General features: G+C 51.4%; 1 protein-coding gene and 1 long non-coding RNA gene across 3 annotated transcripts, besides 5 other annotated features; one reads left to right on the top strand and one right to left on the bottom strand.

Moving 5' to 3' along the window:
- Nucleotides 8,613-9,253: an enhancer, noted in NCBI's record as "OCT4-NANOG hESC enhancer chr22:39394090-39394730 (GRCh37/hg19 assembly coordinates)". NCBI's record gives its function as "activates a minimal SCP1, AML or CMV promoter by ChIP-STARR-seq in naive H9 embryonic stem cells {active_cell/tissue: H9 hESC(naive)}" and the evidence as "EXISTENCE:reporter gene assay evidence [ECO:0000049][PMID:30033119]".
- APOBEC3B-AS1 (APOBEC3B antisense RNA 1) lies at nt 9,118-15,779 on the top strand. Its single transcript, NR_104187.1, has 5 exons — nt 9,118-9,252; nt 9,601-9,857; nt 14,335-14,400; nt 14,757-14,940; nt 15,720-15,779. It is a non-coding gene; the product is annotated as an APOBEC3B antisense RNA 1 (long non-coding RNA).
- On the bottom strand, nt 14,559-24,991 carry APOBEC3B (apolipoprotein B mRNA editing enzyme catalytic subunit 3B). 2 transcript variants are annotated; one of them, NM_004900.5, is made up of 8 exons: nt 24,868-24,991; nt 23,107-23,263; nt 21,247-21,526; nt 20,926-21,040; nt 17,728-17,881; nt 15,712-16,006; nt 15,189-15,304; nt 14,559-14,907 (listed from the first exon to the last, which is right to left on the bottom strand). In NM_004900.5, the coding sequence occupies exons 1-8, from the start codon at nt 24,882-24,884 to the stop codon at nt 14,893-14,895; spliced, it is 1,149 nt and encodes a 382-aa protein (NP_004891.5). In that variant the 5' UTR covers nt 24,885-24,991; the 3' UTR covers nt 14,559-14,892. The 2 variants fall into 2 exon arrangements, with proteins under 2 accessions (NP_004891.5, NP_001257340.2); NM_001270411.2 differs by having other exon boundaries at nt 15,712-15,931.
- Nucleotides 20,648-20,843: a silencer, noted in NCBI's record as "fragment chr22:39382500-39382695 (GRCh37/hg19 assembly coordinates)". NCBI's record gives its function as "represses an EF-1alpha promoter that drives an FKBP-Casp9 reporter gene in an ReSE screen in HepG2 liver carcinoma cells {active_cell/tissue: HepG2}" and the evidence as "EXISTENCE:reporter gene assay evidence [ECO:0000049][PMID:32094911]".
- Nucleotides 21,410-22,609: an enhancer, noted in NCBI's record as "P300/CBP strongly-dependent group 1 enhancer chr22:39380734-39381933 (GRCh37/hg19 assembly coordinates)". NCBI's record gives its function as "activates an origin of replication core promoter dependent on BRD2, BRD4, P300/CBP, MED14 and CDK7 cofactors, with strong dependence on P300/CBP, by STARR-seq in HCT116 cells {active_cell/tissue: HCT116}" and the evidence as "EXISTENCE:reporter gene assay evidence [ECO:0000049][PMID:35650434]".
- Nucleotides 22,078-22,367: an enhancer, noted in NCBI's record as "active region_19024". NCBI's record gives its function as "activates an Ori minimal core promoter by ATAC-STARR-seq in GM12878 lymphoblastoid cells {active_cell/tissue: GM12878}" and the evidence as "EXISTENCE:reporter gene assay evidence [ECO:0000049][PMID:35858748]".
- Nucleotides 24,808-24,857: a silencer, noted in NCBI's record as "silent region_13737". NCBI's record gives its function as "represses an Ori minimal core promoter by ATAC-STARR-seq in GM12878 lymphoblastoid cells {active_cell/tissue: GM12878}" and the evidence as "EXISTENCE:reporter gene assay evidence [ECO:0000049][PMID:35858748]".
- Nucleotides 24,992-27,745: the final 2,754 nt, after the last annotated feature.

The following is a 27,745-nucleotide window of genomic DNA, read 5'->3' as shown; positions in this document are numbered from 1 at the left end:
TTATTTATCTTAGAGATGGAGTCTTGCTCTGTTGCCTAGGCTGGAGTGCATTGGCACGATCTCGGCTCAGTGCAACCTCTGCCTCCCGGATTCTAGCGATTCTCCTGCCTCAGCCTCCTGAGTAGCTGGGATTACAGGTGTTCACCTTCACACCTGGCCAATTTTTATATTTTTAGTAGAGATGGAGTTTCACCATGTTGGCCAGGCTGGTCATTAACTCCTGACCTCAAGTAATCCACCTGCCTTAGCCTCCCAAAATGCTGGGATTACAGGCAAAATGCTGGGATTAGTGCCTGGTCCTAAGATGCTATTTTAATAGCATATGCTTTCTGTTTTTTATGATTGAGATGGTCATGTGGTTTTTCTCCTTTAATCTATTGATATAGTTGCAATATCATTCTGTTTGACAAGTAGTAGTGGCTTGTGATTTGGATTGACTATCAAAAGAGACGTGATAGGCTTCACCCAGTATGCATTTCCTTGGCTTTAAGAAAAGATACAGGACAGGTGGGACAACGTGTGTAACAGCACAGAGCGGAAGTCTCAGGACTCCCACGTGTAGCTTCTGAGGCCCCTTGTCACTCACGCACACGGACACTTGGTCCTGAGGCTGAGGGAGTGTGGACCTGCCCAGCTCCGGGAAGCCATCAGCTCTGGGGCCTGCAGATTAAATACCTTTCTGTTTTTTTTTTTTTTCTTGAGACTGAGTCTCGCTCCATCACCCAGGCTGCAGTTCAGTGGCACGATCTCAGCTCACTGCAACCTCTGCCTCCTGGGTTCAAGTGATTCTCCTGCCTCAACCTCCTGAGTAGCTGGGATTACAGGTGCGTGCCAACACACCTGGCTAATTTTTGTTTTTTGTTTTTGTTTTTGTTTTTTGAGATGGAGTCTCGCCCTGTCACCCAGGCTGGAGTGCAATGGTGTGATCTCGGCTCACTGCAACCTCCACCTCCCAGGTTTAACAGATTCTCCTGCCCCAGCCTCCCTAGTAGCTGGGATTACAGGCACATGCCACCACACCCAGCTAATTTTTTGTATCTTTAGTTGACATGAGGTTTCACCATGTTGGCCAGGCTGGTCTCGAACTCCTGACTTCAGGTGATCTGCCGACCTCGGCCTCCCAAAGTGCTGGGATTACAGGCATGAGACACCGCGCTCGGCCAATTTTTGTATCTTTAGTAGAGAGGAGTGTTTCACCATGTTGGCCAGGCTGGTCTTGAACTCCTGACCTCAGGTGATATGCCTGCCTCAGCCTCCCAAAGTGCTGGGATTACAGGCATGAGCCACCGCACCCGGCCAGATTTAATGCCTTTTTAGTCAGGGACTCTTCAGTTCCTGGGCTGCTGTGTCTCATTGACTGAAATTACTCATGAATTATAGTTTTTAAAAAATTGTTTTCTATTTTTGCCCAGTTGTAGCATCAGGGTTGTGATAAACCTCGGTCATGATTTGGGAAGCTTCCCATCATTTTCTTTTCTCTGGAATAGTCTCTGTAATGTGGAATGATCTGTTCATTGACAATTTGGTAGAAATTGCCAGTAAAACCATCAAGGCCTGAGGTTAGGTGAGGATTGGTTACCTTTTCAGTGTCCTCATTGATGATCGACCTAACTGAGTGATTTTTCTCCATTTTGTGTCAGTTTTGGTGATTCTTACTTTTATGGAATATTTATGTAAGTGTGCTAGAAGGCCAAGCACGACTTTTCCATCTGCCCTGGAATTGGTGGCCGGGAGTTAAAACCATGGTCAAAGAGAGATTATGTACCTAACATCCTACAGAAAGCTTCAGATGGGTGAGGGTCAGACAGATACACCACAGAAAGACTCACGACAAGGTCTTGTGAAGAGGCATTCAGCTTTGGCCGGGAGACCCCAGCAACAGGCAACAAGCAACGGCTGGGAATTAAGAGGGCTTGGGAAACTGAGTGTGTAGAAAAACACACAAACTCAAGCCGTGTTTTTCCTCTGCTCTCGCACCAACACAACAACAGTCAACACAGAAGACTTCTGTGACCAAATGTGGGGGATTTCTTCCCACCAACAAACAAGCAATCCATTCTTCAGCAGGCACCAGCCAGGTGTCCTCTCAGTCACATCCAACATTGCCTTGAGATGGTGTCAGATCTCACAGGTTGAGGGCCCAGTCCCCAAAACTGCCCCTGCTTTAGACACCAGTAGAAAGCTCAGACATCTGGAGTGTCTGACCAACAGGCTTCAAGTTGAGGTTCCCATGACCCATTCTTTGGGTTCAGTTAATTTGCTAGAGCACTACTCTGGAGGCTGAGGCAGGAGAATTGCTTGAATCCAGGAGGCGGAGGTTGCAGTGAGCCGAGATCGTGCCACTGCACTTCAGCCTGGGCAACAGAGCGAGACTCCGCCTCAAAAAAAAGAAAAAAAGATCATTGAGTTCTAAGTGTGCCTAATTCACACTATGATTTTGTCTTTAACGCGTGAATGATTTAGGAGCGATAACGTGCTACCCTAGCAAGAACGGGAATCGAGCTCAAATACGGACACCACCGTGTCTAGCAGCACAGCCTACCCTGAACTCATTGGAAATCGATATCCATTTGTCCCTTAAAATATTTTAAGTAATTTTGGAGAGATGTAGGAGAATAATGCTTTTTTCTTTTTTTTTTTTTTTGAGACAGAGTTTCATTGTTGTCACCCAGGCTGGAGTGCAATGGCACGATCTCGGCTCACTGCAACCTCCCACTCCTGGGCTCAAGCGATTCTCCTGTCTCAGCCTCCCGAGTAGCTGGGATTAGAGGCAGCTGCCACCACGCCCGGCTAATCTTTGTATTTTTAGTAGAGACGGAGATTCACCATGTTGGCCAGGCTGGTCTCCAACTCCTGACCTCAAGTGATATGCCCATCTTGGCCTCCCAGAGTGCTGGGATTACAGGTGTGAGCCACCGAACCCAGCAGAGAATAATGCTTTTTAAACATTTTTTTAATTTTTAAATTTTTAATTAATTAAATTTAATTTTTTAATTTTTTAGAGACAGGATCTTATTCTGTTGCCCAGGCTGGAGTGCAGTGATGGCTCACTGCAACCTCAAACTCCCCAGCTCAAGTAATCCTCCCAGCTTTGCCTCTTTTTTTTTTTTTTTGAGATGGAGTCTCGCTCTGTTGCCCAGGCTGGAGTGCAGTGGCACAATCTCAGCTCACTGCAAGCTCCCCTTCCCGGGTTCACGCCATTCTCCTGCCTCAGCCTCCCAAGTAGCTGGGACTACAGGCGCCCACCGCCACGCCCGGCCAAATTTGTATTCTTTTTTTTTTTTTTTAGTAGAGATGGGGTTTCACTGTGTTAGCCAGGATGGTCTCGATCTCCTGACCTTGTGATCCGCCTGCCTCAGCCTCCCAAAGTGCTGGGATTACAGGCGTGAGCCACTGCACCCGGCCCCAACTTTGCCTCTTAAAATGCTTGAATTACAGGCATGAGCCACTGTACCCTGCCACGGTAATGCTTTTTAGGGGTGTATTAGTTGGGGTTCAGCCAATAAACAGAACCACTAAGATGTATATATTTTGTTTACGAATTTTAAAAAATCTGAATCTGACCTTATCCAGTTGCAGGGGCTGGTTAAGCAACCCCCATAAAATGTTGTCTTCACTGCCTGTGATGTTGGAGCTTGAAGTCTGCGGCGGGGTGGTTCAAGGGGCCATCAGAAAGGGATGAGGGATGCTAGGTGTGGGAGAGCAAGAGCCAGCTGGAACCCACAGGTCTGAGCTGTGGAGCGTACGAGGAGAGACAGAACCCATGTCATCGTTCTTGCCTCTGACTTTAATTGTGTCCTACTGGGGACCTTCCTCAAGGAGCTAAAGACACACACTTGGCTCAGGATCAGAGACACTCAGGGACCATCTAGGACTGCTCCTGGCAGCTGCAGGCCCAGGTGCTGCTTCACGCCAAGGAGATGTGAGCATGCCAGAAAAGGGCTGCTGCCTCACTTCCTCCCAGCAGACTTGCCAGGGCGGTCTCTGTGGCTAGCCCTGAAATCTGACCGCTGGGAAGGGAGGGCATCCTGACTTAGTGCACACATTACAGAGCTTCCGCAAGGGGGCAGAAGAGCTGACCCCAAACCCTGAGAATTTGATTAGGATTGCATCAAATCTGTAAACTTTTTTTTTTTTTTTTGAGATGGAGTCTTGCTCTGTCACCCAGGCTGAAGTGCAGTGGCTGGATCTCTGCTCACTGCAACCTCAGGTTTAAGCAATTCTACTGCTTCAGCCTCCTGAGTAGCTAGGATTACAGGTGCACGCTACCACGCCTGGCTAATTTTTTGTATTTTTAGTAGAGACCGGGTTTCACCATGTTGGCCAGGTTGGTCTCAAACTCTTGATCTCAAGTGATCTGTCCACCTCAGCCTCCCAAAGTGCTGAGATTACAGGCATGCACAACCGCACCTGGCCGATTTAACCTCTTAATATTAAGTCTTTCAATCCCAAAACATGGTATATCTCACCATTGATTTAGGTGTTTTTAAAAACTTTCTCTTAGTTCTTAGTAGAGTTTTGTAGTTTTCTGTGTATGGGTCTTATACAACTTTTGCAAGATGATTTTTTTTCTTTTTCTTTTTTTTTTTTTTTTTTGAGATACAGTCTTGCCCTGTCACACAGGCTGGAGTGCAGTGGCTCAATCACAGCTCACTGCAATCTTGACCTCCCCAGGTTCAGGTGATCCTCTTGTCTCAGCCTCCCAAGTAGTTGGGACTGCAGGTGCACGCCTCCACATCCAGATAATTTTTGTATTTTTTGTAGAGACAGGGTTTTACTATGTTGCCCAGGCTGGTCTTCAACTCTTAGGCTTAAGCGATCCACCTACCTCAGCCTCCCAAAGTGCTGGGATTACATATGTGAGCCACTGCACCTTGCCTGCAAGATGATTTTTTTTTTTTTTTTGAGATGGAATCTCACTGTCGCCCAGGCTGGAGTGCAGTGGCGCAATCTCAGCTCACTGCAACCTCCACCTCCCGGGTTCAAGCAACTCTCCTGCCTCAGCCTCCCAAGTAGCTGGGACTACAGGCACACCCCACCACGCCTGGCTAATTTCCATATTTTTAGTAGAGACAGGGTTCCACTATATTGGTCTGGCTGGTCTCAAACTCCTGACCTTAGGTGATCCACCCGCCTCGCCCTCCCAAAGTGCGGGATTACAGGCATCAGCCACTGTGCCCGACCATCAAGATGATTTTTAACACTCTGTTTTCAGGGACAGATTTCTGGTGATAGATAACAAACCAATATTCTAAATGGCTCACTATGGGCCAGGTGCTCTTTATAATATATGTAGCTATAATATGAATATGAACAAACTCGTTTAAGCCTCACAACCCACAATGAAGAAGTTGTATTATCATCTCCATTTCATATGACAGACTGAAGCACAGAGGTGCTAAGTAACTTGCTAAATGCCACAATCCAGTAAGTGGCAGAAGCAGGATGAAACCCAGGCAGCCGGCTGCAGAGTTGCCACTCACACTGCTCCCCTTGTGCTGCTTGGTAACAGTGACAAGCGTTCCTACCAGTATCCAATAGCACATAAAATCAGGACTGATGCTCTGTCAATATCAGACTTGACTCTTTTCTTTTTTTTTTTTTGAGACGGAGCCTCGCCCTGTTGCCCAGGCTGGAGTGCAGTGGCACGATCTCGGCTCACTGCAACCTCCGCCCCCCAGGATCAAGCAATTCTCATGCCTCAGCCACCCGAGTAGCTGGGATTACAGGCGCACGCCACCGCGTCTGGCTAATTTTTGTATTTTTAGTAGAGACGGGGTTTCACCACGTTGGCCAGGCTGCTCTCTGCTCTCTGCTAACTCCTGACCTCAGGTGATCTGCCCACCTCGGCCTCCCAAAGTGCTGGGGTTACAGGCATGAGCCACCATGCCCGGCCAGACTTTACTCTTACGTTCAGATTCATTGAACTCGTTCTATAAAAGCAAGATCTCCCCCCTCAGTTGCTGCAGGGGAGAGGGGACATCTTCATCTTTATCTTATAGTATTTCGTATATACAAAGATGTGCACAATTTTTAGAATGAGGCTATGGAACTTTGTTCATTAGCAGGAAAGCCCAATAGCAGGCTAGTAGAGCTACGTGTTACGGGATGAAAGGGAGTAAGAGTGGATAGAAATTTCCTTAAAAACACTTTGTGGCCGGGCGCGGTGGCTCATGCCTGTAATCCCAGCACTTTGGGAGGCCGAGGCGGGTGGATCACGAGATCAGGAGATCGAGATCATCCTGGCTAACACAGTGAAACCCCGTCTCTACTAAAAATACAAAAAATTAGCCAGGTGTGGTGGCGGGCGCCTGTAGTCTCAGCTACTTGGGAGGCTGAGGCAGGAGAATGGTGTGAACCAAGGAGGCGGAGCTTGCAGTAAGCCGAGATCGTGCCACTACACTCCAGCCTGGGCGACACAGCAAGACTTTGTCTTGGGAAAAAAAAAAAAAAAAAAAAAAAAAACAGTTTAAAACAGACCAGGCGTGGTGGCTCATGCCTGTAATCCCAACACTTGGGGAGGCCAAGGCAGGCAGATCATGAGGTTGGGAGTTCGACAGCAGCCTGGCCAACATGGTGAAACCCCACCTCTACTAAAAATACAAAAATTAGCCAGGCGTAGTGGTGGTTGCCTGTAGTCCCAGCTACTCGGGAGGCTGAGGCAGGGGAATTGCTTGAACCTGGGAGGTGGAGCTTACAGTGAGCCGAGATCACGCCACTGCACTCGACCCTGGGTGACAGAGCAAGGCTCCATCTCAAAAAAAAAAAAGAAAAAGAAAGAAAAGAAAAAAAAAAAGAAAAAGAAAACCACCACTAACAAACAAACAAACAAAACAGTTTAAAACAACAAAGACATCAGTTTAATCTCCCCCTAGTAACCATTGAAATACTATACAGTAGCCCATTCTCATACCAGATTGGAAAAGATCAAAGAGACTGAGTAGATAAATGAACAATGTTCTGCAGAGAGAACATGGTCCTGGTGAAGCCGGGTCCCAGCGGCCCCCGGCCCCCTCGCTCCCCTCGTGTCTTCCTCCACTCTGCCACAGTCATCACACCCAAAGCCAAATGCCCATCAACAACAGAACTGGCAAAGTGAGTGCCGGGTATTCACGGGTGGGATAGTGGACAGCAATAGGAATTGACCTGCAACCGTGATAAACAGAATGGGTGAACCTTGCAAACATAGGGTTGAGTGACAAGAGCCACACACAGAAGATTGTGTACTATGTGCTGGTGTTTAGAGCAAGTGCAGAAAAAGCTAAACTAACGTATTGCATTAGAAATCTGGAAAGTGGCTATCATGGAGGAAATGGAGAGAGGATGGGGCCCGCCAAGGTACAGAGGGAGAGAAGAGCCCTGGGGACAGCTGTGACCCAGGACAGGCTGGTGGCGTCCATCCGTCTCCAGGCAGGACCAGGTCTCATAGGGCTTTCCCTGGTGGTCTGAACAGTCTTCCCAGCAGGGCTAAACACTGCGGTGAGGGGGAGATAGTCAGCTTCCGTCACAGGGGCTGAGGCCATGGTGTGTGGGGCAGGTGGGGAGCCCTCCCCAGCACCTCTCGGCCTTGGCCCTGGCATCCTTTCCATGTGGACGTCCTGAGTCTTCCACGTCCTGAGTCTTGTCCTTGGTGTCACCTACAGTCCTAGCCAAGGACTCTCCCCACCGGCTCCCAACCACCCTTCAGCCCAAAGCCTCCCCCTGACATCCCACATGACAGCTGACCAGCCCGGTGCAGGGTCCTCATTTCCTGCAATTTCTGGCTGTTGGCAGTGGAGGGGTCAGGCTTCAAGCCTTCTCGTTGACGTTGACATGCTCAGCCAGGAAGCTGTTCACTGTCTGGGCACATTAAGGACAAGGGCTCCAGGAGATGCTCCAGGTGACCTGGTAGCACCAGTGCATGGCCAGTGGCTTTAGAATGTTCATGGAGAAGGAGAAACAAGTTTCCAGACAGTCAGATTCCTCAAGGCAGAAGAGGAGGGAAGGGGAGGGGTGGTGGTTTGGGTGACTGTGCAAGCCAGATGGGGGGTCCTCAAGCTCAGCCATTCCAGTGTGCTGCTCTCTCCTGAGAGGGAGGGAGGGAGGGAGGGAGGGAGGGAGGGAAGGAGGCAGGGAGGGAGGGAAGAAGGGAGGAAGAAAGGAAGGGAGGGAGGGAGGGAAGGAGGGAAGGAAGGGTCAAGGAAGGGAGGGAGGTGTTGTGGGAAGTCAGGGACCCCAAATGGAGGGACCAGCTGAAGCCATGACAGAAGAACGTGGATTGTGAAGATTTTATGGACATTTATTAGTTCCCCAAATTAATACTTTTGTAATTTCTTATGCCTGTCTTTACTGCAATCTCTAAACATAAATTGTAAAGATTTCATGGACACTTATCACTTCCCCAATCAATACCCTTGTGATTTCCTATGCCTGTCTTTACTTTAATCTCTTAATCCTGTCAGCCGAGGAGGATGTATTTCGCCTCAGGACCCTGTAATAATTGCATTAACTGCACAAATTGTACAGCATGTGTGTTTGAGCAATATGAAATGTGGGCACCCTGAAAAAAGAACAGGATAACAGCAATTGTTCAGGGAATAAGAGAGATAACCTTAAACTCTGACCACCGGTGAGCCGGGCAGAACAGAGCCATATTTCTCTTCTTTCAAAAGCAAATGGGAGAAATATCGCTGAATTCTTTTTCTCAGCAAGGAACATCCCTGAGAAAGAGAATGCGCACCTAGGGGTAGGTCTCTGAACTGGCCCCCCCAGGGCGTACCTGTCTCTTATGGTCGAGATTACAGAGGTGAGATAGACTCCAGTCTCCCATAGCGCTCCCAGGCTTATTAGGAAGAGGAAATTCCCGCCTACTAAATTTTGGTCAGACGGGTTGCTCTTAAAACCCTGTCTCCTGATAAGATGTTATCAATGACAATGGTGCCCGAAACTTCATTAGCAATTTTAATTTTGCCTCAGTCCTGAGGTCCTGTGATCTCGCCCTGCCTCCACTTGCCTTGTGATATTCTATTACCCTGTTAAGTACTTGATGTCTGTGACCCACACCTATTCACACACTCCCTCCCCTTTTGAAAATCCCTAATAAAAACTTGCTGGTTTTTGCGGCTTGTGAGGCATCACGGATCCTACCAACATGTGATGTCTCCCCCGGAAGCCCAGCTTTAAAATTTCTCTCTTTTGTACTCTGTCCCTTTATTTCTCAAGCCAGCCGACACTTAAGAAAATAGAAAAGAACCTACATGATTATCGGACCAGGTCCCCTGATAGGGAGGGAAGGAGGGAAGGGTGAAGGAAGGAAGGGAGGGAGGGAGGGAGATAGGGAGGGAAGGAAGGAAGGAGGGAGGGAGGGAGGGAAGGTGGGAGGGAGAGAGGGAGGGAAGGAAGGAAGAGTCAATGAAGGGAGGGAGGGAAGGAAGGAAGGGTCAATGAAGGGAGGGAGGGAAGGAAGGAAGAAAGGAAGGAAGGGAAGGAGGGAGGGAGAGAGGGAGGGAAGGAAGGGTCAATGAAGGGAGGGAAGGAAGGGAGGGAGGGAGGGAGGGAAGGGGGGAGGCAAGGAAGGACAACTGGTTCATTCATATACTAGTTCCTTCATTCCTTCAACAGTAACCCAAGAGCACCCACTCAGGGCCACGGCTCAGGCAGGAACCTGGGATGCAAGGATGGATGGCACATGGTCCTCCCTCCAGGAGATCACAGTGTAGGGAAATCAACGAGGACCCATAGTGAGCCCCTCCATCCCACGTACCCCCTCCTCTATCCACTTGTGGGCACTGCAGCCTGGACTTCTGCATCAGCAGCTGTGTGGAGGTCTGTTACCCTGAGATCTGCAGCCAGGACAGGGGGCTGTGCCCAGGAACAAGGTAGGTCAAAGGGAGGTGGGAGAGCCCAGGCGGGTGGGCGCAGCATGGGAGGGTGTGTTGCAGGAGGCTGTGGTGGCTGCTCTGCTCCAGTGACCAGAGGGAATGGCTCTAGCTACCTGGTGGGCTGGTGTTGGGCACACGAGGCATTGTCGGGGGGGCTATGATCGTGTGTAGGTCCCTCCCAGAGGGCCCCAGGCCCTGGGTTTCCATCTTTGTGGCTTCCATGCAACTGCGTTGTGCAATGTGTTTGGTCTGAGCCTGATGGGAGGAAGAAAGCTGGTCTTGTGGGGGGCTCCCCTTTCCCTACCAATCTGGGATTCCTGTGTCCATCCCCAGCTAACACCTGGTTGTGAAGGACACTGGTGTCCAGCAGGACAGGGTGTCACCATCTGATCACTCTACATGGTAGGATAGGCAAGTCTCCCCTCGCCCTTTGGCCAGCTGTAGGTTTTCATAGTTAAAGTTGAAGTCCAGGTCAGGCGCGGTGGCTCACACTTGTAATCCCAGCACTTTGGGAGGCTGAGGCGGGCAGATCACCTGAGGCCAGGAGTTCGAGACCTGCCTGGCCAACACGGTGAAACCCCATCTACTAAAATACAAAAATTAGCCGGGCATGGTGGTTCGTACCTGTAATCCCAGCTACTCAGGAGGCTGAGGCAGGAGAATCGCTCGAACTCGGGAGGCAGAGGTTGCAGTGAGCTGAGATGGTGCCATTGCACTCCAGCGGGGGTGACAGAGTGAGACTCTCTCAAAAAACAAAAACAAACAAACAAAAAAAAGTTGAAGTCCTTTGGAGACATCTGGCATCCAGAGGTCAGAGGGGAGATGAAAGGAAGACACAGACGGGTGCCCTGCAGCCCTGGCAGGCACTTGTTCATCTCTGAGGCCCCGACCACCTGGGATGAGCCTGGAAAGCTTTTTGCTTTCTTTGCTGGTGGTCTCCAGGACCTTCTGCCCCGAATCCAGCCTAGTCCACGAGGCCACATCTCATTTTTCCTTGTGTAGAGTCAGGGATGGGGTCACTTCTCAGCCCCAGGAACGGTGCCTTCCCTCCCTCAGGCCCTCCTCTTTGTGATGACCACCCCAAATCTCCCTGTCCTTAGCCACAGATGCTCTGTCTCCAAGTCTTCTCCCACTGCCCATCCACAGGCACCTCTTTGCCTGAAGTTCTCATCCTGGACACTTCCTCTTTCAGGAGGGAGCAGAAATGGCATCGTCTGACTGGGTAACTCCGGCGAGCCCAGGGCTGGAGGTGGAGCCTTCATGGGGCGAGGGTGTTGTAGGGTAACACTGAAGGAGTTGGTTCCAAAACAGTGGCCGGGTCCTGGTTTGGGGCTGGACTCCTGCTGGCCCCTGGGTTGGCTCTGTTCTTCCCCAACTAGTGCCACAGTTTCACTGGGGATGCCCAGATGCAGAGGAGCTGCGAGATGGGTGAGGAGGCAGGTCCTCACACCCTTCCGTGGGGACAGTGAACTCCAAGAAGATTTTCATAGGCGGGTTTGGCTAAGTGCATCAAAAGCTTTGTTCAGTTCTTAGGAAATGTTCTACGACCATCTGTCCAAAATGCCTAAGCAATTATGAAACCCCACATCGCAGCTTCATGGACAATACTGGAAATTTGAAAACTACCTAACTGTGCTCCACTGGGGGTTGGTGAGAACTTGTAGATCAGGGGCTTTCCAGGCATGGATTTTTTTGAGATGAAGTTTCGCTCTTGTTGCCCAGGCTGGAGTGCAATGGCGCAGTCTCGGCTCACTGCAACCTCCGCCTCTCGGGTTCAAGTGATTCTCCTGCCTCAGCCTCCCGAGTAGCTGGGATTACAGGCAGGCGCCACTACACCTGGCTATCACACGTATATTATGCAGCCTTTTGAAGCCTTTTCCTAAGATGTGGGGAAATGTTTGTAACTATACTATAAGGAAAGACGCAGGACTCCAACTTCTGGGCACAAGATAGTTTCCAGCATAGCACTATTTATTACCTGTTGGCCATGGCTGTGGCTGGGTCCATCCATTGAATACTTTACCTGCCTTAATGAGCTCCAAGCCAAGGCACAGAGAGGGTGAGTCACTCAATAGGGGGTCACACAGGTAGGAGGAGGAAGAGCCGGGAGTTGAATCCAGGAATTCTGCATCCACAGCCCATGCTTTTAACTGTTACATTCTATCATCTCTGCTATAAAAGTATTGGACAGGAAAAAAATTGGGCCAAAGAATCACAAGAACCTCCCTAGACTCACTTTGCAGATGAATGGGGAGGGGGGTGGCTAGGAGTTGTGTTGTGCCTATTTCTTAAGTTGGGGAGTACACACTTTGGTGTTCGCATATTGTCGTATTTAAATCTTAAGAATTAAAAAAAATTCTATAGGCTGGGCGCAGTGGCTCATGCCTGTAATCCCAGCACTATGGGAGGCTGAAGCAGGTGGATCACCTGAGGTCAGGAGTTTGAGACCAGGCTGGCCAACATAGTGAAACCCCGTGTCTCCTAAAAATACAAAAATTAGCCGGGTAGGGTGGCGCATGCCTGTAATCCCAGCTACTCAGAAAGCTGAGGCAGGAGAATTGCTAGAACTCAGAAGGTGGAGGTTGCAGTGAGCCAAGATTGCACCACTGCACTCCAGCCTAGGCAATAGAGTGAGATTCCATGTCAAAAACAAAACAAAACAAAAAAACAAAAATTCTATATTTAAAATTTAATTAATTTTTTTTTTTTTTGAGTTGAGTCTTGCTCTGTCACCCAGGCTGGAGTGCAGTGGCATGATCTAGGCTCACTGCAACCTCCACCTCCTGTGTTCAAGCCTGCCTCATCCTCCTGGGATTACAGGCATGCACCACCACGCCCAGCTAATTTTTGTATTTTTAGTAGAGACGGGGTTTCACCATGTTGGCCAGGCTGGTCTCAAACTCCTGACCTCAGATGATCCACCTGCCCCTGCCTCCTAGTGCTAAGATTACAGGCGTGAGCCACTGCCCTAGGTCTATACTGTTTTTAATCATTCATTTTTTTTCTTTCAACAATTGTAAATGGATTCCTACCCAGGGGGCAAGGCTGGGCAGTCAAGGCACAGGCAGCAAGCGGTAGACTCCAACCTCAGTGCGTTTCCGGGAAGTGGAGGCAGATGGTCAAGAAATGAGAATCTACACACAGGGAAGATAAATCCAGTTTGTAACAAGGACAGTGCAGGAAATAGACATGGAGATGAGGCAGAAGGGAACTGTGTGGGCAGCTCACTTCAAGAGGCCAGGGGAGGTGACTTGGGAACTGAATCCTGAGGAAGAGAAGGGATAGCAATGGGAAGAGCCGAGGGAAGCTTTGTCCAGAGAGGGAATGGCAGGTGCCGTGGTCTGAGGCGAGAGAGGGCTGGGTGACCTGGACTAGAAGAGACACCAGCCAGACAGCATAGAAAACAAGTAGAGGAGCTGGGCTTGGTGGCTCACGCCTGTAATCCCAGCACTTTGGGAGGCCGAGGCAGGCGGATCACCTGAGGTCGGGAGTTCGAGACCAGCCTGACCAACATGGAGAAACCCTGTCTCCATGAAAAATACAAAATTAGTTGGCCATGGTGGCACATGCCTGTAATCCCAGCTACTCCAGAGGCCGAGGCAGGAGAATCGCTTGAACCCGGGAGCTGGAGGTTGCGGTGTGCCGATATCACACCATTGCACTCCAGCCTGGCAACAAGAGCAAAACTTCATCTCAAAAACAAAACAAAAACAAAAAAACAAGTAGAAGGTGACAAAGCTGGCAGGGGAGAAGGGAGTCCTCTCCTTGGCCAGCTGTCTCATGCAAGGGAGTCCCCGTCCGGGGACAGGTGCTCTGGGGAACCTGGAGGAGGTTTCTTTTTGTGAAGTCTCTGTCACTGTGTGTGGGTGCGTGTGTGTATGTGTTTTGTGCATGTGTTGTGTGTGTATGTGTTGTGTGTGTTGTGTGTATGTGTGTCTTGTGTGTGTTAGTGTGTTGTGTGTGTCTAGGCCAGGGAAACAGTGAGTCGTTTCTGCCCAGGAGCAGCTGCATGTGAGGCCCCTTCTTGGTCTTATACGTGGCTTCTGAGGACTTTCCAGAAATTGTGAGGTGGGAGCCGCCACTGTAATCAGGCACATAAATAACACATCCCAGAGTTGGGAACCAGCGCAGAAGGCCCAGGACAGACGCCAAGCTGAAGCCACAGCCCTGACACCTGCCGCCCTAGCCCTGGGCTCCGTCTCTGCCTCTGGAGCTTCCTGTCCCCGGGACTCAGCTCCCCTCCCCTCTGTGGCTGGGCTCTGCCTCCTGGGCTGCTCCTCTCCCCAGCCCTCTCTCTGGGCCCAGCCTAGACACCTGCCCCCTCCCTGGGCTCCTTCCCCCGACTGGGTCTGTCCTGGGTCTCAGCCATGGCCTCCCCTGGGCTCCCTCTCTAGGGGGGTGGAATCAGGAAGGGGTGGACACAGGGCGGCTCCCGAGGGCCCCTGACTGCACGTTTGTGGTTCCTTTCCAACAGGGAGACTGGCTGCTGACTGTCCTCTTACTGCTGGGCCTGTCCCTTCCAATCAGCGCCCGGGGCTCTGTGAGTGAGGGTGGGCGGGGCTCTGTGAGTGAGGGTGGGGTCTGCATTTAGGTTCCTCTCCTGTGTGGTTTAGCTGAGTTTTCTGGATCCAGAGGGATGTTGTGTGACCTTTCCCAGCTACAGGTCCGCTACACAAGGAAAGACATCTACACATTTGCTAGTGTTTGTGGAAACAATTATGGAAGATTCTTAATGTTTTATTAGTCTAAATATGGAGCCAATTAATCACTTCATTAATACATTGAAAACTATTCTGGGAATATTGAGCATAATCTTACTCTTGTACACTTGGAACATAAGAGAAATTTTCAATTAAAATTAATTGACTCTGATTTTTAAAAAATCTACTTGATCAGGAGCACATTGCTTTGCTGGTGTCTGTGAGCAGCTGGAGATGGTGGTGAACGGTCTGTTTGCATTTCTTGGAAGAAGATCTTTTATTCTGCTGCTCAACCCAGGTCTCTGCCTTCCTTAGAGACTGAGGCCCATCCTTCAGTTTCCCTGATTCTGGAAGAGCAGGGGGGTTGAATGGAGCAGGAGGTGAGAGAGTGGAAAGAGGGCACAGGGAGGTGGCCTGGGGACAGTGACAATGACGGGAGAGGAGGGAGGGATGCGGGAGGTGGGAAAGAGAAGGAGGCTGTGAGAAGGAAAGGGAGGGACGGAGCTGGGCGCCCTGTGGGGAGCAGGGAACCCAGAGGAGGCTCTGAGCAGAGGGGAAGGCAAGGCACAGGGGAGCGGGGAGGAGGGGGAGGCCGATGGGGCACCAGGCAGAGGGAGGAAGCCCTCACCTGGAGAATGGCCCGCAGCCTCCCACTCAGGGCTTGGCTGTGCTCCTCTAGTCCATCCCAGGGCTGGAAGGGACATCCCTGGCGGTACACAAAGGTGTCCCAGCAGTACTCAAACTCTGAAAAGGGACAGGGGAGATAAGTCACGCTCCTGTTGTGGGGAGGGGGCAGCACCAAGGGCCCATGACTCTCAGGACAGACTTCCCACATCCTGGTTTCAGTCCCTCCTTTCCCTCTCCCTCCCCTAGGGACTTAGCTCCTTCATCAGGTACTTCCTTCCCATTGGAATCTGGGCCAGCCCAGTTCTCTTTCTTTCGGAAATCCCCAAGTTCTGCTTCCACTTCCAGCCACCCTCCCCGGGCCCATATCTCCTGGCCTGGCCTCTCTCTTCCCATCGACCCCAAAGTCAGGTCCCAGAGTCCAGCCATCGTTTCTGCAGGCAGCAGACCAAGGCCTTTCTCCTTTTCTTCCCAGGAACCTCTCCTGCCCCCACCCACCCCACCCCACCTGAACCTTCCATTCTTACCATCGTAGGTCATGATGGAGACTTGGGCCCCAGCATCCCGCAGCATTTGCAGCGCCTCCTTATATAGGGGGTCGTAATCATAGATGCGGGCAGCGAAGATGCGCAGTCTCACGTGTGTGTTCTCCTGAAGGAACGCACGCACTTCCCCGGCACAGCCCCAGGAGAAGCAGGGGCTCCAGGAGATGAACCAAGTGACCCTGTAGATCTGGGCCGGGTCCAACTGCAAAGAAGGAACCAGGTCCAAGAAGCGCAGCTCCGCATGGCGGCCGTAAAAGCCACAGAGAAGATTCTTAGCCTAGAAAAGGAAACAGAGTGTGAGGTGATGTGTGGTGAACAGGGAGGGAGCGCCTGGACCAGGTGGGGCTGGGGAGGCGGGGGCCTCCAGCACGAAATTAGAGGGGTCGCCAAAACCCCGGTTATTAGGATGCATGATTTTCTATGCAATATTAAAAATATCAGATGTTATGCAAAAATCCCAAGATAAGCAAAATGTTGCCCATTTAAATACAAACAGATCAGGAGCAATGAGGTTTTATTTTGCCCCAGCTCCAATATACACAGGACAGCACTCTCCTGCCAGGCTTTATTAAAATCTTTGCTTTTATTCATCATGATCTATTTGTATTAAATTTGCGTTTTAAAATATTGCATTAATTATTAAATTAAAATGTGTTTTCTCTAATTACTGAGCATTTGGAGCCCCCATCAATTTTGTACCCAAGGTCAGAGCCTTCAGGACCCTCACCCCAGACCCAGCCCTGCAGGGAGGGGCTACAGAGATGGGGGCAGGGAGGAGGGGCCGGCGGAGCCCCAAGGTCATTGGCCTGATGCCCCTGAGTGAGTGTGCTTCCTTCAAGGGGAGATTGACCTGCTCTACTCATCAACTCCCCTACTCCCATCCCATCTGTGGCCCATAATTCTAGAAACTTCTATTCTGTGCCACAACCTGTGCTGAGCCCAAATGTGATATAGACTTAGGCCAAAATGAATTCCACCAAAAGTAGTGGGGAAGAGAAGACCAGCAGGACTCACTCCAATGTGGGAAGGTCCCTGTGACATGGTATAATTGTCATTATTTTGACTTATAGAAATATGGTATTTACTCCAAACTTCAGAGAAAAGGATTTTCCACTAAGACTAGGAATCGGTCAAGTTGGGGACAGCAGGGCAGCAAGGACTGTGATTGTGATGGGGACAAAGACAGGGAGGGATTCCATCAGAGGGGATGCAGGGTGAAGTGGATGACATGGTTTGTGCTGAGAAGGGGCTGTGGGTCATTCCTGGGGGAGTCCCACTGCTTAGGCGGTGATGGAGACTGGCACCCTTGAAAGGATGTTCCAAGCAGTGTGTGTGGATCCAGCGAGGCCCACATTGAGCTCATAGAGCCCAGAGAAGCCCCCAGTTTCCAGCAACAGAGCCAAGCAGAACTTGGCCTCTCCAGACAGAGGCTGTGCTGGGTAGGGGCCAGGGAAGAAAGTCCCTTGGGCTCAGGGCTCCTGGCCAGCCTAGCCTGGCCCCCTCAGCCTTTCCTGGCCCAGTTCTTCCCCAACTGCTGGCCATCTTTGCATCCTGACATGGGACCTGTTCTGGCCTTGCTGTGGGCTCCACCCTGGGCAGGACAAAACCCCTGATCAGCCTCTCCTGCCCCAGTCTGTCTCTCCGCAGGATGAAGCCCAAGAGAGGGCACAGGGACATCCTGGCCTTGTGAGTCAGGTAGGCCCTGAGTCCTCAAATCCCACAGTTCCGAATCATTCCTGGTGAGAGCTGTGTCTGTGAGGGGATCCTGGGAGGGTCCTCAGGAAGCACTTTGCCATTGGGCAGACTCAACCCCACCTGGCCATGGAGAGTCACTGAAGCCAAAGTCTCCCCCCAACTCCAGGGCCAAGCAGCAGCAGCTGCAGGAAGCACAAGTGACAAACACTGCAGGAAACCACAGGCACCACCCAGAACCTTCTATCTATGAGTGTCCCTGGATTGGGAGGGCCCTGCCTGGATGCAGGTGGCTGGGTCGGTCACCTCGTTGCATAGAAAGCCCATGTGCTGGTCCATCAGGACCCAGGTGCCATTGTCCAGGCGCTCCACCTCATAGCACAAGTAGGTCTGGCGCCGTCGAAGGACCAAAGGGTCATTATTAAAGTTGAAAGTGAATGTGTCTGGATCCATCAGGTATCTGTGGACAAAGACAGGGGAAACCAAAAGCCCTAAGACTCCTCCTGGGACTACCTCTCGCTCCTCTCCTGCACCCCCCACTCCTTCCCTGCTCCCCATATACTGAGGCACCTGTCAGAGGAGGCGCTTCCACTCCCTTTGTGGGGGCCACTGATCCTCTCTCTCTGACCCCTTCTGGTGGATTATCAGGAAGTCAACACAGCCCCGGGGCCTGTTTAGGCCTTGTCAGGGTCTCCCCAGGGTCAGCTCAGTGTGCTCAGGCCCTCCGGGGAGGACCCTGCCCCTCTCCCTGGGGTAGAGCTGGGTCTCCTTCCCTGGCCTCACCATGCACCCCTGTCCTGGCTCTGCTCACCCACAGCCCCTGCTGGAGATGGACCTGCTGGGGCTTCCTCCTGCCTGCAGGGTTAACTCCTACCACACCCAGCATTGGGGCAGGGACACTCCTGAGGGGGATCATTGGGGAGAGGAGCCTGCCAGGGACATCTTTTTGGATAATTCATAGCATTTTCCACGTCCCTTTGGATGCCATGAGGTCTCCCAAACGTGCTTCTCAGGCCAGATGGGGCAGCTCAGGACTCCTGGGCTGGAAACACCAGCCCCACCTTGAAGGCCTCTCCCGGCCCCTCTGTAGACATCCTGACAAAACCAGAATTAGAAAAATCTCTGTTTGGAGGCAGCAGCAAAAGAAGAAAGACGAGAGAGAAGAAAGGAAGAAAGAAAGAAAGAAAGAAAGAAAGAAAGAAAGAAAGAAAGAAAGAAAGAAAGAAAGAAAGAGAAAGAGAGAAAGAGAGAGGAAGCAAGGAAGGAAGGAAGGAAGGAAGGGAGGAAGGAAGGAAGGAATCTCTGTTTGCCACAATTTCTAGTAGACCTGGGTATGAATCTGGGCTCTACCACTCACTTGCTTTGTGTTCTCAAGAAAAGGAAACAAGGCTTCTTCATAGCAAAGTGGTCCTACAAGCAACACCCTTTTCTAAATATTAGGGAGAACGAGATGACACTGAACATAAAAATGGCTTAGGCCAAGTCCAGAGACATGGAACATTTGCAAGAAATAGTAGATGCTCATTTAAAGACAAGTGAAGAGAATCCCCTCTCCAACTGTCTTCACTGGCTGGGGCACAGCATCATTATCCACTGGGATTTTCAGGCTCCCTGTGCATCTGCCCCAGGAGGTGGAAGGAGACCTGGAATTGGTACCATTGGAGGAGAGACCAGCACTGGGACCAAAACTGGGAACCTAGAGCAAGAGGCCAGGTCCAGAGAGAGGGTCAGGAGGAAAAGAGAGGCCCCAGGGGTTTGAGGGTGAGAGGTGAGTGCTCATCAGAAAAGCTCGAAGAGGAGTTCTTGTCTCCTTTTTAGTGTGTGGGGACTGGAAACACTTGTGCTTCAGTCCTGAGTCCTGGGTGTTTCCGTGACCAGCACTGCTGTCCCTCCCGGGTTCAAGCGATTCTCCTGCTTCAGCCTCCCAAGTAGCTGGGATTACCGGCTCCCGCTACCATGCCTGGCTCATTTTTTGTATTTTCAGTAGAGAGGAGGTTTTGCCACGCTGGCCAGGCAGATCTCCAACTCCTGACCTCAAGTGATCCACCCACCTCAGCCTCCCAAAGAGCTAGGATTATAGGCATAAGCCACCGTGCCCTGCCTAAAATAAGAGCATTTCTCCTGATCATATGTTTTCCTACACTCCATGTTGCAGGTGTCATTCTAAAAGGTGAATGGTGCTCACGGAGGAGGAGCCTGTGTCTGGGGTCGTGTGCATCCTCCTCTGCTCACAGCGGAGGCGTCTTTGGAAGAAATGACTTATTTTCTGGTACAGAGACCATTTCCTCCCCCACACCCTCTCCTAAGACTTTGTGTTGAAACAAAGTAAATCTTACAGAAATTCCATCAAAATGCTAAGAACAAAATGCCTGATTGCTCCAATCATCCTTTGGTTCAATTCTCCCAGTTCCAGAGCTCAGGAATGGTGGGAAGCATATACAGGGAGCACCCTCCCAGGGCAGGGAGCACCAGCCCAGCGGTGACTTTCAGGGAAGAGTCTCAGCAGGGGGTCTGGCCTGGGGCAGGTGGGGGAGGTGGCCCATTCAGAAGCAGCAGTGGGGCGACCACACAACAGGGCAAAGAGCCTGGCTGGGAGTGGGGGTGGCAGAGGAACAGGAGGGGAGAGAGCCCAGGGCTGGGGCTGGGACAGGGGGAGGCCAGGGCTGAGGCCCAGCAGGACCACCAGGCAGGAAAGGGCAGCAGAGGCCCCATGGGCAGAGCGGGCAGTGGTCCCTGATCTGGGGCTTCATGTGCAGCCTCCCTGGCAGGCTTGTCTTGGCCCTGATGTTAGTCCTGGGTTTGGATTCTATTTCTATCTTCCAGGGCCCTTGTTCCAGGAGACACCTGCGCTGTGAGTGACCTCCCAGGCCCATCTGAGTGCAAGCCTCACTTTATGCTGCTTTCTCACCTGGATGGGAGGACATCTGGAGGGACCCCTGGATCCTGCCCTCAGGAATCATCCCAGGGACCCCCCCCGTCCCCAGCCACCCAGCAGCTATGTGGTAGTGAGGGAGAGTCAGGGGCAGGTGTCTGCCTTCCCCCATGCCTTCACACTCAGAGGCCACCATTGGAGGGAGGAATAGCGGGTGGGGGTGGCCCTCAGATGTCCCCCCAGGATGCCATGGGTGCCCCCACACTGAGCTCCTTCCTTCCACATCTCCTGCCCAGAGTTGTTCCCTGGAAGGCTGAGCTCTTGCCTCCTCTTGTCCCCATGTCACAGAAGGGCAGCGGCTGGTGTCCCAGGCCACCCTGTCTTGCTGTTTGTTCCTCTAGTCCAAGACCCAGGTGCCTTAGAGGCAGAAGGGGCCTCTTACTCACAGGAAGGGCCCAGGAAAGCAGGGAGGAGGCAGTGTGGAGGGAGCACCAGGAGTTAAGGGAAGGTGGTGTGACCATGAGGGCAGGCAGTGGGTCAAGAGGGAGGGCGGGAGGGCCAGGCCAACGGAGGCCTCAGGAGGATGAGCAGGTGAGAGGAGAGAGATGATGAGGCCAGAGGGAGACCCTCACCTGAGAATCTCCTTTAGCGTGCGGTGCAGGAATGCATAATTTTCATCGAATTTGTACCAAGGCATGAATTGCTGACCTTCATTGTACACAAAGTTTTCCCAGCAGTATGCAAATTCTGAGATGAAGAAGCGGGAAGCAGTCAGGCTCTCCCCTGACCCTGGCCTGTCCTCCCAGGCCTGGTCTCCTGGCTGTCAGTTGCAGTCAGTGCCAGTCCCACCCCTGCAGGCTGCCCTGGGACACCCCCAGCCATGGCATTGCAGATCCATCCATCTTTCATGCTGTTCCTCCCGCTCACGCTCCCCTGACCCCTCCACCTCTCACCTTCATAGTCCATGATCGTCACGCGGGCTCCTGCCTGACTCAGCCTGCAGAGCGCCCTTCGGTAATCTCTTTCCCAGTAGTAGTAGAGGCGGGCGGCAGAGATGGTCAGGGTGACATTGGGGTGCTCAGACAGGAATTCGGCCAGCTTCGCCACACAGTCCGGGCAGGGGGTCCAGGATACAAACCAGGTGATCTGGAAACACTTGTAAGCAGGCAGCTGGTTGCCACAGAACCAAGAGAGGAAGCACATTTCTGCGTGGTACTGAGGCTTGAAATACACCTGGGAGAGGAGCAGGGGGCAGGGGATGCTCTGAGAGGGGGAGCAGGAGGAGTGCAGGGGTGGGGCAGGGAGAGGAGGGGCCAGGACAGGAGCCCAGGGGATCTTGCCATTGAAGCTCCTTTCCTCCATCCCCCCTGTTTAGTTTGAGTGATTGTCTGCTCCAAAGCTCACGTTCAGTGTTAATGGCTATTGTAATGGCCTTAAGAGGTGGCACCTAGAAGAGGCTATGAGGCTGTGGGGACTGCACCTTTGTGGGTGCCACTGCTGTGGTTATTCAAGGGTGACTTCAGCCCCTCTTTCTGTCTCTTGCCCTCTATCTGGAAGGGCAGTGTGTCAGACTAAACTCCTGCTTCCTCTTGTCCCCGTGGCATGGAGCAGCTGTGACTCGACATCCCAGGCCACTCTGTCTGGAGCATCCCCTGAGCTTGTGGCAACAACCTTCACCCTCATGTGACTGTTCAGCTCACAGGCTGAGGCAGGAGAATCACTTGAACCTGGCAGGTGGAAGTTGAGAGTGAGTCATTGCACTCCAGCCCAGGCAACAAAGAGTGAAACTCAGTCTTAAAAAAAAACCAAAACAAAACAAAACAAAAAAACAGAACTGTGGGAAGTGGCCAGGTGCGGTGACTCATGCTTGTAACCCCAGCACTTTGGGAGGCCAAGGCAGGTGACTCACCTGAGGTCAGGAATTCCCCAGCCTGGCCAACATGGTGAAACCCAGTCTCAACTAAAAATAGAAAAAATTAACTGGGCGTGGTGGCAGCCTTCTGTAATCCCAGCTATTCGGGAGGCTAAGGCCGAAGAATCACTTGAACCTGAGAGGTGGAGGTTGTAGTGAGCCAAGATTGTGCAATTGCACTCCAACCTGGGTGCCAGAGCGAGACTCCATCTCGGAAAAAAAAAAAAAAAAAAAAAAGGAAAAAAAGAGAAAAAAGAAATGTGGGAAAAATACACAATTGAGAGCCCAGTGCTGGGCATTTTACTTATTGTTGTGTTTTCTGCATTTCCAGCTGCTTAGGTCCTACTGTAGCAAGGGTTAAAAAGAAAAGAAGAACAAGTTTTCCTCTGCCTAGCCAGCTCACTCCAACGACAGTTATAACACTGCCTGAAAAGTCAAGGCCAAAGGAATGGGCTCCAGACACCACCCCCACACCCCTCCAGGGCAAGGTTGAAGAAAATTTTAAAAAAATTTTTTAAAAAAAAGACAAATTCCTTTACTGTCTCTCCTTTCCAGAACCATTATAACTATATTTTACAAATGTCTGTATTTAGCCAGTTCCTGTTTTCCTTTTGATGTAGCTGCAAGGCCACCAGCTATAGAAGGCCCCAAGTTATGCTAAGTCATCTGTTATGCTATAGATTATGTGACCTGTCACTGTTTGATTAATCGCCTTTGTTCTGCTTCTGTAAGTTTGCTTATAAATACCTCAGTCTGTCTTTGTTAAGGGCTCAGCCTTTTTGGATGTGAGTCTGCTGAACCAGTGCACCTAAATAAATCCTCCTGTCTCACCCATATCAGTCTCTCCAGTCCTCTAATTCCTGCAACACTGCCTGTGATTCGATTGAAGTTTGGGTGGTACCTGGCCTCGAAAGACCCCTGTGTCCCAAAGGAGATTTGAGCGGCCCCTCTTTATTTTCACTTCATAGCACAGCCAAGTGTAGCTCCGACCATAGAGGATGGGTTCGTTTTCAAAGTTGTCGTAGAATGTGTCTCGATACATCCGCTCCATCGGATTTCTGAAGGCACAAGAGAGAAACCGGCCCATGCAGGGAGCCCTCCCGGGAGTCCTCGGGGCTCATGTCCACTGAACACAGCTCCCAGGATGGCCCTGGGCCTCCCCGACCCCTCCACAGCCCTGAGAATTTCTGCTGCCTTCCCAGGCAGGAAGACTGAGGGGAGAGGAAGAGGAGGGGATGCTGGCAGGCGGGCTGGGGTGATCTCTCCCAGCTCGGGTCCAACTCTGGCCTTTCCAGGGGTACATTCCCCACCCTCCTAGTATTTCTGCCAACCCACTCCCCAACCCATTAGGAGAATGCAAAAGAGAATAAAACCCTTCACCCCTAAAAAATAGCTTTTAACCTTTCAGCTCAATTCCTTCCTGATGTTTCACTCTGCGTGTTAACATTATTTTAAAATCATGGTAGAACTGAATTCTGAGGCCCAGGCCACTCTTCTAAGTGCTGAGCGGGTGTGAGCTCACGTGAGGCTACCCTAGGCCTGCAGGGGCCATTCCCATCTTACAGAGGAGATGCCAGAGGCACAGAGAGGCGGGGTAACCTGCCGAGGCCACAGAGCTGGGGACGGATGGAGCAGGGGCCCCTTTCCAGGCCAGCCCTGTCCAGCCTCTGCATCACGGATCCTGTAGGAGAAAGCTGTTGGGGACTGGGCTCTCTTTTCACTAAATTTTAAAATCAGAGCATTTCTCCTCATCATTGCACTTTTTTCCCACATTCTCACATTCCATGTTACTGATCATGTTCTTTCTTTTTTTTTTTGATGAAGTCTCACTCTGTCGCCCAGGCTGGAGTGCAGTGGCATGATCTCAGCTCACTGCAACCTCCACCTCCCAGGTTCAAGCAATTCTCCTGCCTAAACCTCCTGAGTATCTGGGACTAGAGATGCGCCACCATGCCTGGCTAATTTTTGTATGTTTTTTAGTAGAGACGGGGTTTCACCATATGGGCCAGGTTGGTCTCAAACTCCCGACCTCATGATCCGCCCGCCTTGGCCTCCCAAAGTGTTGGGATTACAAGTGTGAGCCACCACGCTCAACCACTGGTCATGTTCTAAAAGATGAAGAGTGACCTTGGAGTGGAACCTGTCTGGGGACATCTGCTCACCATGGAGTCATCCTTGGATGACACGATTTATCATGTGCTTCAGAGACCATTCCTACCCCCGCACCCTCTCCTAAGACTTTGTATTTAAGCAAAGTAATTCTTACAGAAATTTCATCAAAACACTGAGAACAAAAATGCCTGATTGCTCCAATTACCCTTTGGTTCAATTCTCCCAGTTTCTGAGCTCAGGAGTGGCAGGAAGCACACAGAGGGAGCACCCTCCCAGGGCGGGGAGCACCAGTCCGGGCATGACTTTAAGGGAGAGTCTCAGCACGGGGCCTGGGCTGGTGCAGGTAGGGGAGGCAGCCCATTCAGAAGCAGCAGTGGGGTGACCACACAGCAGGACAAAGAGCCTGACTGGGATTCGTGTGGCAGGGGAGCCAGAGGGGAGGGAGCCCAGGGCTGGGGCAGGGGCGGGGGGAGGCCAGGGTTGAGGCCCAGCAGGACCACCAGGCAGGAAGGGGCAGGAGGGGCCCAGCAGGCAGAGTGGGCAGCGGTACCTGATCTGTGGATTCATGTTCAGCCTCTTAGATACGCTTGTCCCTGTCCCGCTCTTTTTTTGAAGCTCTGTGGTTTCACTTCCTGCTTACAGCGTCCTTGCAGTTGGACAGCCCTCCTTAAAGTGACCTCCCAGGGCCTTATGAGTCATGGCCCCTCCCCATTCCTGCTCAGGCATTGGTGTGGGAGGCCCCGGGGTGCTTCATGTTTCTCTGGCTCTGGCTCTGGCTCTGGTTTTCCCCGGACCCTTCCCGCTGGCAGAGGAACCTCCAATAAAGACAGGCTGCTCTGTCTTTATCTGTCCTGGGCAGGACCCAACGGAATTGCAAAGAGAAAGAGAAAGGCATTGCAGCCTGAGCCTGGGAGGCGGGTCCAGACCCAGCTGAGAGAGGGGCAGGTGCCCCGTTGCCTGGTGGTTGGGCAGGCTGGAGCCCCCTCTCCACCACCCCCTCCCCAGCCCTAATGTGTGCCCAGAGCTTTGAGCAGCACCACCCTGTTGAGTGAGGGGAGGTTTTGAGACTCCAGTGGGGAAGGAAGTGTGGACTCCGCACAGCACAAGGGAAGGCTTAGGTGTGCCTCGAGTTCCCAGCTGTGTGCTGGGTCCATGGCATGCGTCCCCTCTTCCAACCTCCCAGCTTCCAGAAGGTGGGGGGCAGGTCAGCCCCTCAGAGGGACTGCGATGTCTGCGACACCAAGGAAGGGAGAAGGGTGTCTATAAACAGGCTCACTGCCCAGGGACCTCTCAAGGGGTTCTTTGTGGGCCAAGAAAACGGGAAACACATACACACACAGCTTTCTGATTATTTAAGTCCATCTAAGCATATTTTGGAGGAATGAATGTACATTGAAATAATCTTCCTAAATAGATTCCTTTAAGGGGAGTTTGTTCCAGCTGGAGAAGTTGTGCTCTCTGTAGAGGCTCTGAACTCCTCTGGCTACGACGACGGGAATGCAGACAGGGAGGAGGATGCGTGGGTGGTAGGGGGAGCAGCAGCGCCCCTACCTGCACAGAAGCTTGTCCAACCTCTGCACAAAGCGGACTCCCAGTGGTTGTTTTTGGAAGGTGAGTTTTCTTTTCTTTCTTTTTTTTTTTTTAAATCTTCCCCAGTATAAATCTTTTAATTTAAAAGTAAATTTTATTGTCGAAAATGCAAACTTGGGGAGGGCAGAAAGATCACACACAGGGCTGTCACTTCACACCTGGGGGGTTGCTGGGAGCCGTCCAGAAGCGCTCCTCACTTCCCAGACGGTGCGGGGGCCGTCCAGAGGCGCTCCTCACTTCCCAGACGGTGCGGGGGCTGGGCAGAGGCGCTCCTTACTTCCCAGACGGTGGGACAGCCAGGCAGAGGCGCTCCTCTGGAAGGTGAAGTTTTCTGTTGCCGTCAGAAAGAGATGGACAAAGGATAAGACCATCGGTGGAAAATAAACAGTTCCGTTTATCAGAAACATACTTTGTAAAAGAAAATGTAATAATGACCCTAGACCAGGGAGGCATCCTCCAACCCAGCTGTAAGGCGGCAGTTAAGGCACAGTGGGGAAGGGACACCAGCTTTGCAGCCAGGCGACTCTGAGATCTGCCCCTTCCTTACTGTGTGACCTTGGGTGGTTTACTTAATGTCTCCAGGCCTCTAATTGCAGGCGTGAGCCACTTGCCCAGCCCATTTTATTATTTTGAAAACGTTTTCGGGCAAGGTGTGGTAGCTCATACCAGTAATCCCAGCACTGTGGGAGGCCGAGGTGGACGGATGACTTGAGGTCAGGAGTTCGAAACCAGCCTGGGCAACTTGCTGAAACCCCGTGTCTACAAAAACAAAAACAAAAAAATTAGTCAGATGTGGTGGTGTGCACCTGTAATTCCAGCTACTAGGGAGGTTGAGGCGGGGAGGATCACTTAAGCCATGATTACATCATCACCGCACACTAGCCTGGGCGACAGAGTGAGACCCTGTCTCAAAAAAAAAAAAAGAAAGAAAAAAATTTTCCACCTGTGTAATTTTATTTGAAGAAGGTTATATATGGCTGAGTGCAGTGGCTTATACCTGTAATACCAGCACTTTGGGAGGCTGAGGCGGGTGGATCACCTGAGGTCAGGAGATTGAGACCAGCCTGACCAACATGGAGAAACCCTGTCACGACTAAAAAAAAAAAAAAATTACAAAAATTAGCCAGGCATGGTGGCACGCACCTGTAGTCCCAGCTACCTGGGAGGCTGAGGCAGGAGAATAGATGCAACCCAGGAAGTGGACATTGCAGTGAGCTGAGATCTCACCAGTATCCTCCAGCCTGGGCGACAGAGTGAGACTCCATCTCAAAAAATAAAAAAATAGTCCAGGCGTGGTGTCTCATGCCTGTAATCCCAACACTTTGGGAGGCCGAGTCAGGGGGATCTCCTAAGGTCGGGAGTTCGAGACCATCCTGACCAACATGGAGAAACCCCATCTCTACTAAAAAAGAATACAAAATTAGCCAGGTGTGGTGGTGCATGCCTGTAATCCCAGCTACTTGGGAGGCTGAGGCAGGAGAATCACTTGAAACTGGGAGACAGACGTTGCAGTGAGCCGAGATTGCACCATTGCACTCAAGCCTGGGCAACAAGAATGAAACACCATCTCAAAATAACATAAAATAAAATAATAAAAATAATAAAAATCCAGCACTTTGGGAGGCTGAGGCGGGTGGATCATGAGGTCAAGAGATCGAGACCATCCTGGCCAACATGATGAAACCCCGTCTCTCCTAAAAATACAAAAATTAGCTGGACATGGTGGTGCACACCTGTAGTCCCAGCTACTTAGGAAGCTGAGGCAGGAGAATCACTTGAACCCGGGAGGCAGAGGTTGCAGTGAGCTGAGATCGTCCCACTGCACTGCAGCCTGGGTG

This window comes from Homo sapiens, chromosome 22 (assembly GCF_000001405.40).
Source record: "Homo sapiens chromosome 22, GRCh38.p14 Primary Assembly".
Taxonomy (NCBI): Eukaryota; Metazoa; Chordata; class Mammalia; order Primates; family Hominidae; genus Homo; species Homo sapiens.
This window is presented reverse-complemented; position numbering and strand designations above follow the sequence as displayed.